The 10,290-nt window shown below is 40.9% G+C and overlaps 1 protein-coding gene across 6 annotated transcripts in view; it reads left to right on the top strand.

Annotated features, from left to right (window-relative positions):
* Window positions 1-10,290, top strand: part of MAGI1 (membrane associated guanylate kinase, WW and PDZ domain containing 1) — a 685,393-nt gene that overhangs the window by 320,433 nt on the left and 354,670 nt on the right. The window lies entirely within an intron of this gene.

The raw sequence follows: 10,290 nt of genomic DNA, 5'->3' as shown, positions 1-10,290 counted from the left end.
GGAAAAGATAGAGCAAAGGTACAACATTGTAGGATTTGCACTGGGGCACGAGGTCATTTCTGTTCTCAAATGTATATTGATATGGCTGTTCAAAGATTGGTTCATCTCCATCTCGTGCTGGAAACACGTTCTGTGAAAGGAATTGCAAAAAGTTCTCACCGTTATCCTTTTTTTCATCATCTTAGGAAGCTATCTCTTAGGTCCAGCCAAAATGTTTCTGGCAATACTGGGTAACTTGCTTCTGCTGTTAGAATGCCCGGTCATGGCTTTCTCTAAAAAAAAAAGTTTGTGTTGACCAGTATGATGTCACATTAACCACAGACGACATAGCCTATCAGTTGTATGTCACTGTGACCTTGTAGAACACCTTATCAGGAGTTAGAGTCACAGACCAATCAATTCAAGGTCCCGAGTGTAGGTACAGGGATTTCTGCATGGAAGATGTTATAGAATGTTCATAAAAACCTTCCACAGTAACTCTGCCCACTTGGTTAGACAGAATCTACCATGGTAGTAGAAGCTTGGGGGAAAAAAATCTTTCTTATGTTGTTTGCTCTTGGTGACCACACTCTGCTATTACAGTAGGTTTATGTGGAGCTGGAGCTGATTCAGCACTTTTGGCCCTAGGGGAGGGCAGATGACCAAGCTTGGGCACTTAGGGTAGTGCTCCATCCTCATGGCCACTGTGATTAGTTCAGGATTCAGAGGGTGGTCTAAGCTGGACCAATCAGAATCAACTCAAGGGCTTTTGCCAGACCTATCTAAGAAGTGATTCCTGGAATGGAAAGTTTTGAGCTTGAAGCTATAGGGGAATGTCTAGATATTGCAAGATGTTTTCATCTCCGTTTTTATGTTGTCCTCAGTGTTATATCAGTTTCTAGGCACATATATTTGTACGTGAATCCTGTAATAATTTGATCTGAGAACGTGCTCTGAAATCTTTGTCATCTTTCATCACAGGCTACTTCGACTGTTTATACCAGAGTCATGAAAATGTGAAATAACTTAAAGGCAAGATGCATTACTAGTATGTAACTAAAGTGTATATTGATATGCCTGTTCAAAGATTGCTTCATCTCCATCTCGTGCTGGAAACATGTTCTGTGAAAGGAATTGCCTCTACCTACTGGGTGCCAGTAACACATTCCCCCAACCCTAGTTGTGATCATCAGACATGTTTTCAGGTATTGCCACATGTTTCCTAAGGGACAAAACTGTTCCCAGTTGAGAACCACTGGTTGAGTCTAACTGGGTTTGAAGACAACTCTTTGACTTTTCGGTTGTTTGTCCTATATTAACTTTCTTTCACTGTCTTTTAGATGAGCCTGCTTCTGTTATCATATATATTTCTCTGACTAAAGCCAGGAAAAGGCCTCCTCTTTTAAAAGATTCATGTGATTTGCCCATCCAGATAATCCAGGATTGTCTCTCCATCTCAAGGTCCTTTACTTAATCATATCGGCAAAGTCACTTTTGCCATGTAAGGGAACATATTCACAGATCCTGCAGAGCAGGATGAGGACGTATTTGGGGAGCCATTATTCTGCCTACAACATTCACCAATATTTTTCTTTTTGGCTTTAGCAAGTTGATTTGACTTCCAGTTGCTGCAACTAAGATTTTGTGATAAACTGTGACATAGTTTGGAAAACCACTTTTTAAATCATGCTGCAGTTCATAGGCTGATTTTTTAAAACCCCTAGCACCTAACACAAAGCCTGGTCAGTGATGGGTCCTCCATGTGTACTCATTGAATGCAGAGTTTATTCTTTCGTTTTATCTTGGGTCCCATGAAGAAGAGTTATTAGAAACTACCACAAGAATTGTTAGGCAGAGCTTTGGGAGAGAGAATACTGAGAAAGGAAGTAAACATTCCCTGCAAAGATAAGCAATTAAGTGATTTTAAAGAGCTGGGAATTTCAGAGTCAGGTAGCAAGAAAGGAATTGCTGTTCCCCACTGTTCCTACCACTCTGTGAAATAAGATAGTCTGCCTTTGTGTCGGCCTAATTGCTGCTCTTCCCTTCCCCTCATTTTTGTGCACTGCACATCGAGGTAAGTGACTGATAAATCTATCCTAGATGGAGAAGAATTTATTATTTTTATTTTCCTTCTCAGAGCAGTTTCTCAGGATGAAATATATTTATGTTCACAGCCTCATGTATTCTGAGGTCTGTGTGTTTTCTAACAGATTACACAAATCCCTTTGGGATTACAATCAGCTGGCCTGTAGCATACACAACAGTCCCTGTATCATTCTCTGTGTGAAACTATCCCAGATCCTTAGGCTAGTCCTGAATCTGATACAGTGTCTCAGTCCTAAGAAGATGGTGTCTAATACATCAGTTCCTAAGTTGAGGACAAGAGGATGCCTTTAAAACAATTTGAGGGGGCTCGAATGGTTTAATTTTGTAAACGATTTTTTTGGAATATAATTGTTTGTTTTCACAGGCCTTAGAATACAGAACTGAGTCTCGGATACCTTTGATTGTAACACAAACTTTTTGAAAGCTCTACTTCAACAAACCACTTCCAACACCTCTGTTGCTCCAAGGAACATCTCAACTGAGATGTGCAGCTGTCTTGGCTTTGGTTTACTAAATTTACAAATTTACAAATCCAAAACGGAAGGAATTCTACAACCTAAACTCTTCCTGCTTTTTTACTTAAGCAGCACAAATTTTTGGTTATAAAATGAAGTGTTTTCCTATAATGAGTGCACATAAATATTTCATTGATGCAATTATCTTTCACATGAAATAATTCCACAGCATGGCGAGTGCCTGAGAGAAGTGATAAATCTGCTTCCTTTCCCCAAGTGATTTCTTTTTTAAACAAACAAAATGTGTGTCTGAAACGGTGGTGCTTGTGTGTACGTGTCTTTTTGTACCTGCCATTTCCTTCCCTGGATTGTGCACGTGACCCCTAGGAGTAAGTGGTAATCAGAGAGGAAAGCAATGTTGATTTCTGCAGTCAAGATGAAATAGACAAATGCTGGTCCAACTGGAATTTCCAAACTCCCAGCAGTATGCTTAATTAAAAATGCATTTCAAATTCTGAGCTTTTGGCATATATAGCAAGAAATAGCAAATTGAACTTACACCTGTATTACTAAAACCAAAACAAAAAATCAAAATCCTGACCTGGAGAGAAGGATGAAAATGCTATAAGGGGACCAAGAAAATGTTTATGACCTGCAAAAACTATAATTGTTGTTTGTGCATTTTTTACTTTAATTTGGGATGCAGAAAATTGTTACACCAATTTAGCATCTGATGAGAGTGATATACCCTTGAGAAAATGCCTTTTTGCAAAGCATTGCTGATTAAAATGTCTGAGGTCGTTTTTCTTCCTAGGTAAGTCTTCACTTTGAAAGCAAATCTGTATACTACACCACATTTAGATTTCCCACCTTCTTTTTTTGTATGATTCTTTGGCCATCCCACCCCCCACCATCTCTACCCCTCTCCCCATCCCACCCATCTTATATCTTTGTCACCATCCTTTGTCCAGATTCTAAACCTGTGTCTGTGGTCCCTGCTCCTTCTGAGTTTCGGGGAGAGCAAGACACCATCATTAATATCTATACTATTTTTCCTGTAGTGAGGAACAGAAGAAACTGCCAGGCTTGGTCACAGTGGTAAACAGAAATTTCAGATGATTTAAATTGGTGTTGTGGGGGGTGTGTGTGTGTTCATTTTATGATAATGGCACTTAAGAGTTGTCCTTAAAAGAGACTGTGATGTCAGAGAAGAAATGATTGAGGACTTGATTTACCTGTAGAAAGCTAAATTGAGGCTCACTGATGATTCTTAAGAGACAGTATCAGGCTTCGGTTTTTTTTAACCCTACTTACAAGCTAATAATTTAGCCTATTATACAGTTTCATGCATGCTGGCAACCAACATGAGACTCTTGGGTCAGAGATAAAGGCTGTTATTGCTCACAGCACAACAAGTGGCATGAGCATCATGTTTACGTAGGCTCCCATGCTCCCCAAGTCCTGAGGAGGGTGATTCGAAGGGGCCCAGGTGGAGATTGTACACACTGAGTTTGCTTTGCCACTGAGAAACCCTGAGCTGGGGGAATCTGCCTCTTGTACTGCAAGCCTGCTCTTTCCTGGATGGAGACATTACCTCATCTCTCAAGATTGTTCACTGCGAACATAACCCCAAGCAGTGGTCCAGGCAGAGGGTGTTCAGGCCTTAGTGTTCTTTGCAGGAACATTCAGGGGTCAGGGCCATTGGAGGAATGCCTCTCCCTACAAGAGTCACTCAAGGCACTTTCATGTGTCATATTGATAATAACTGCCAGTTACGGAACGTCTGTGTATGCAAGCACTGTGAACACGCTTTACATGGGTTAATTTTAACCCTTACGTCAACCCAGTGCGGTGGCATGCCTGTTTTACAGATAGAGCAGCCAAGACTTAAAGAGTTCAAGCAACATTGCCTGCTCTGACCGCAGTTCCAAAGTCAGGTGCTTTTTATGATTTTTTTGTTTGAGCTTTTCGTATGTCCCCTTCGTGGTTCTTATAATAATGTTATTTTATTTTAACTTTTTTTCCTCTTTTTCCAGCATTGGAGTGAAAGCTCTTTAAATTCAAGGACTTTATTTTGTTCACCTTTGTTTTCCCAGCAGCTAAATTAGTGCCTGGTGGTAGGAAGCAGGCATGCAGTAAATGTTTAGGAACCATGTCTGTTTTGTACCCCAGGGTTTTCTCAGTGTTTGACAAAACTACCTGTGACGTAGTAGGCACACACAAAATACTTACTGAATGAATACATAAATGAATGAATGAACTTACCAGGTCCTGAGTAATGGAGCCAGGACTTGAACTGAGGTCTCTTTGGCTCTTAAGCCTTGTGCTTAACTATTATGTATCTCTGCCCTTCTCGGTTAGTGGTAGAATCAGCTCAGTTCTCAAAAATTGTTGGGGCTTAGGCTTCTGTCTGACTTGTTTTAGTAGTTCCCACAGGGTAGACAGCCAGTATTATATTGGAAGGGACTTTGTAATAAAAGAGTTTCTTTCTTTTTTTTCTTTTTTTAAAAAATCTCTCTTGCAGCTTGATAGGGGGAAAACAATGGTTACCTCCCAGAATCTGAAAGAACCATTTTTACTCAAATACAAGGCTCTCTTTCCAGAGCTCCCTGTGGGTGACAGCATGGAGGGTTTGACCAAGAATGTTGAGTTTCTTCCCGGGCTAGTTTCCATGGTGATGGCTGCAGCTTTGCTAAGGCTGGTATGGCAGGGAGAGGAAGCAGAAGACAGGGTGATGTTGCATCACTCAAGCAACCAGAATGTTTTATGCCCACAAACAGCAGGGCCTGCTGCAAATGCCAATGAACAGAAACTGGCTCAGGAGTAGAAGGAATGGGGCCTGGAAAGCTATTCTCTCTCTAGGACTTTCTGTCTTTACTGCATTTTGAAAGCTTAGGCTGTATTTAGGGTCAAAACTGAACAGTAAGATTCCTTTCCTAGCTATGAGCTTCCTGAATGAATATTTAATTGGAGAGCCTACCAGTGAGAGAATAAAGGTAGAGTGATGGTCACTTGCTGAGATTTGCAGAGACATCCCAAAGCATTTAGGGGCAGCATTTGTAGAAAATTCCTAGAAAGTGTTTTATTGAGCAACTATTTATAGAATGCTATTTAGGTCATTTGTTGCTGCATAGCAAATCACCCCAAAACATAGTGACTTGAAACAATTTCTTTGGGAGACCGAGGTGGGTGGATTACTTGAGGCCAGGAGTTTGAGACCAGCCTGGCCAACATGGTGAAACCTCGTCTCTACTAAAAATACAAAAATTAGCTAGGTGTGGTGGTGTGTGCCTGTAGTCCCGGCCACTCAGGAGACTGAGGCATGAGACTTGTTTCAACTTGGGGGCAGAGGTTGTAGTGAGCTGAGATCACGCTGCTGCACTCCAACCTGAGTGACGGAGTGAAACTCTGTCTCAACAACAACAACAACAACAAAAACAAAAACAAAACACAATTTTATTATCGCGCATGGCTTTTTTTTTTTTTTTTTCTTGCTTGGGGTCTCTCGTGGTTGCAGCCAGATGGTAGCTGCAGCTGGATTCATCTGGAAGGATTCCTGACTCACATGTCTGGCAGTTGTTGCTGGCATTGTTTGGGACTGACAGTGAGGACCATCAGCCAGAACCTACACATGGCCTCCCTGTGCGGCTCAGTTTCCTCAGAGCATGGTGGGTGGGCGCCAAGACTGAGTATCTAAGAGAGAGGAACTGGAATTCTCTTAACCCTTTGACCTGGAAACTGTCAAAAATCACTTCTGTCATATTCTGTGGGTCAAGTCTAAGAGCCCAAATTAAAGAGAAGGGCACATGGACCCTACCTTTCAATGGGAGGAGTGTAACAGAATTTTTAGGTTGTGTTTTTAAACCATCACAAGAGCCAACCATTTGCTAGGCACTTTGGAGAAACACCCTCTCTTTCTGTCCTCATGAAGTTTATAGCCTGGGAGATAGATATCAATCCAAAATCACAAGAATAAAAGATAAATTGCAATATGGTAAGGGTTCTGAAGGAGATATGATCAGAGAGTCTACAATATGGGGATTGTATTAATTTGCCGAGGCTGCCATAACAAGGTATCACAGACCAGGTGGCTTGAACGATGGACTTTGTTTTCTCTCAGTTCTGGAGGCTAGAAGTCCCAGATCAAGGTGTTAGTAGGTTTGGTTTCTTCTGAGACCTTGCTCCTTGGCTGCCAGACTCCTGCTGTTATCCCTCTGTGTCCTCACCTGGTCTTTCTGCTGGATACATGCTCATTCTTGTCCTAACCTCCTCTTTTTCTCAGGACACCAATTGTATTGGATTAGGCGCACCCATATGACCTCATTTTGCCTTAATAACCTCTTTAAAGGGCCTATGTAAATACATTCACATTCTGAGGTACTGAGGATTAGGATTTTAGCAGATGAATTTTGGGGGGACAAAACTAAGCTCATAGCAGGGAATTGCCTAAAGATTTTTTTGTGTTTTTTTTGTCTGTAGGTATTTCTTGTTATGGATATAAACTCAAATTTTGGAGTTTTGAATTATCTGTTTTTAGAGATTGTTTATCTAAAACCTTTTTACATTTGAATAAAACGTTTATGTGGTTCCAAAGTAAAATCTGAAGCCTGTTCAAAGAAATCTGGCTTCCAAACTTCAACCTCATTTCCTCTGAATGTCCTTCTCTATTTGACCTTGGTATAATACAGTTCATAGTAATTGTTTCTTACTAGTAATTATTTCAACCCTTCTAGACTGCAAGCTTCATGAAGGCAGAAACTTTTATTCTCTTGTTCATAGCATCATCCACAAAAAATCTAACACTGTACCTAGAACACACTTGGTGTTTGGTGACTAGTTGTTGAATGGACATGTGGCATTGGAGTTTAAGGTGTAGACTGGAACCAGTAGGTTTGGGAATTGTCTTCATTGTCTTCATAGAGGCTATGAAAATGGATGAGACCCATCTAGTGGGATGAGTTACAAAAAGAAAAGGCAAACAGTTGAAGGTCTATATTTAGGGGACAGAACAAGGACGGTAAGCAGAGAGAAAAAAGGAACAGTTGGAGAAATGGTAGGAAAGTGGGAGAAAGTCTGTATCAATGGGCATTGGGAAAGCATATATTTAAAACGGACTCCTTAGTCAAGAAGGGCATGGTTGAAAAGTGCTGAACTGGACACTGGAAGACATTGGTTCAAGTTTTGCTTCTACCTTGATTTGTTGTGTGACCTTGGGCAAATTAGTCTCTGAAAATCAGTTTCTTCACGTGTGGAATGAGAATCACTGTATCTATCTGCATTGTCTACCTCGTAGGGTATATGAGCTTCAAGAGATAATAGTGTTAACTCAAATCTAGAAACTTCTTAGTGCTTTAGAAATGTAAGGTTAAGGCTGGGCACGGTGGCTCACGCCTGTAATCCCAGCACTTTGGGAGGCCGAGGTGGGTGGATCACCTGAGGTCAGGAGTTCGAGACCAGCCTCAATATGGAGAAACCCCATCTCTACTAAAAATACAAAATTAGCCGGGCATGGTGGTGCATGCCTGTAATCCCAGCTACTCAGGAGGCTGAGGCAGGAGAATTGCTTGAACCTGGGAGGCGGAGGTTGTGGTGAGCCAAGGTCGCGCCATTGCACTCCAGCCTGGGCAACAAGGGCAAAACTCTGTCTCAAAAAAAAAAAAAAAAAAAAAAAAAAAAGAAATGTAAGGTTAATAAGTGATTCACCAAGTAAAGACATCTTCTAAACTTACCTAGTTTAAGCTTGCCTTTTCACTGATCGCTTGTCTGCCTTCTATTTTGCCTTATTATAGTATTTTGCTTTTTAAAACCATTCCTTTAAAAAAAGGCTTGTGAAATCTTGGGGAGTAACCTCTTAACATACTTTCTCTAACAACAAGGTAGTCTACAAAAGACAACTTTCAGAAGTCAAAAGCTTGGGCTTTATGTGGCACATTTCACTATTTGCTCACCAAGTCAGCTTTTTGGAGAAGCTTTGATTGTAAGGTCACTGGTTTGGGATGCAGTGTTTCTCATAACTTAATTCACACCAGATACTTCTAGGCAAGAGAGTATCAATCATGATTTGATTTACACCAGTTATGGTTTATGTTTCAATTAATGTAGAGGCTAGTTCTGTACGTCAATTAGAGCTACTAAAATTCTTTTCAAATTGCTTGACAAAAACATATCTTCAAGTTTTAATCTGTCAAATGCAACGTGAAAACGTGAAATGAGCACTCTTCTCATATTCAGATGAAGGTGGCAAAATTGGGTGTCAATGTGCTTAAAGACATCTCTAATGGATAAGTTATGGAAAGGCTGATCCGAAGTGCATCTGGTCTTGCTAGAAGCTCATGTTGGCAAAGAAAAGCCGTAAGACTACTGACGTTTCCTGTTGTCTCTAATTTGGTATCTTTGCTTTCCCAAAACTCACCCATGATGTTCCTAAAAGAGGTTTAAATATTTTATCCTCCAATCTTGCTCTATTCAGTGGCTCTTAAAGATGAAGAGAGACCTCAGATGTATTAATAGAGGTAGGTGAGTCAACTCACTTTTAATGACAGAGACTTGACAAAAGACAGCTTCAAAGATACCTGTTCTTAAAACTTTTGAAGGCTCTGTAATCCAGTGTGCTAAGCATTGGACTGGAAAAAAAAGAGATAGCAGGTTTTCATTTCTGGCATGCCACTGACTGCCCTTGCTTTGGAGATTGGTATAAGAAATGTGTTGAGCTGCATATTTTCTCGTTGCCCCTTTTCATTACTTGGAAAAAACCAAGCGAGAATGATGTGAATGCTGAGCACATTTCTGTCACCAAAAGAGAACGGCCATGTAGTGTATATACATATTCATGTTTACTTGAAAATCACTGGCTAACTTTAAGCATAATTTCTGTTATGCCAAAGCCCAGATGTGCAGGCTTGTCCCTCTTCTGAGGTCCAGGTAAATTAGAACCCTTATAAAACCTCTGTTAACCTTTATAAAACCTCAGTTTGCCCCTCTAAGGCCACAGAATTTGTGAGGCATTGGGAGATGGGTGATAGAGTTGGAAATTACTCCTTCCTGCTTGGGTGGATTTACCGTTTCTCCTTTCTCCTCATGTTCATCACCTACCCAGGTATCCTGGAATTTGGTGAAGAAGAAAAAGAAGAAAGAAGGGAAGGGTTGATTGAGAAGAATGGCAGTCTGTCTGGAAGCCACCAGAAGAGATATAATGCTAGCTCTTGTCTGTTCTTTCTCTGTCCTTCCCCCGTTTTCTTTCTCTCTTCTTTCTTCTTTTGCTTTTTACTCTCTTGCCATCATTCTCCTCTTCTTCCCTCCCTTCCTTTTTTCTCACTTTTTCATCCTTCCTTTTTTCTTTCCTCCCCACCACCAATGACCGATTTGCCCACCTGACTGCCCCCAAGCCTTAACTAGAAGAAATAATTGAGCACTTTCTCCCCAAATTCAAGTTTCAAAAGAAAGAGATGTTCTGAGTTAAGTGAGGCAGTGGCATCTCCCAGTCCGTCTCTGCTTCTTCGTCTCTGAGGGGTCTGTCACCTCTATCAGTGAAGCAAGCACCTGGCTGCTCCTCTGAGCCTGTTCTGTCTCTCTTCCTCAGGCACAGAAGAGCTTCTCACTGGTAATTACAAGAGGACAGAGGATACTTATCCCAATGAAAGCTAACCTTCCTCTTCTTTTGGCGTTTACTACCATCTCTTTATTCTTTTAACAATTCATTTCCATATTTAAATGCCATTGATTTCTTTAAAAGGGGGGAAAAGCCAGGTTG

This window comes from Homo sapiens, chromosome 3, assembly GCF_000001405.40.
Source record: "Homo sapiens chromosome 3, GRCh38.p14 Primary Assembly".
Lineage (NCBI taxonomy): Eukaryota > Metazoa > Chordata > Mammalia > Primates > Hominidae > Homo > Homo sapiens.
Note: the sequence above shows the minus strand (reverse complement) of the source record. Positions and strands in the feature narration are given on the sequence as shown.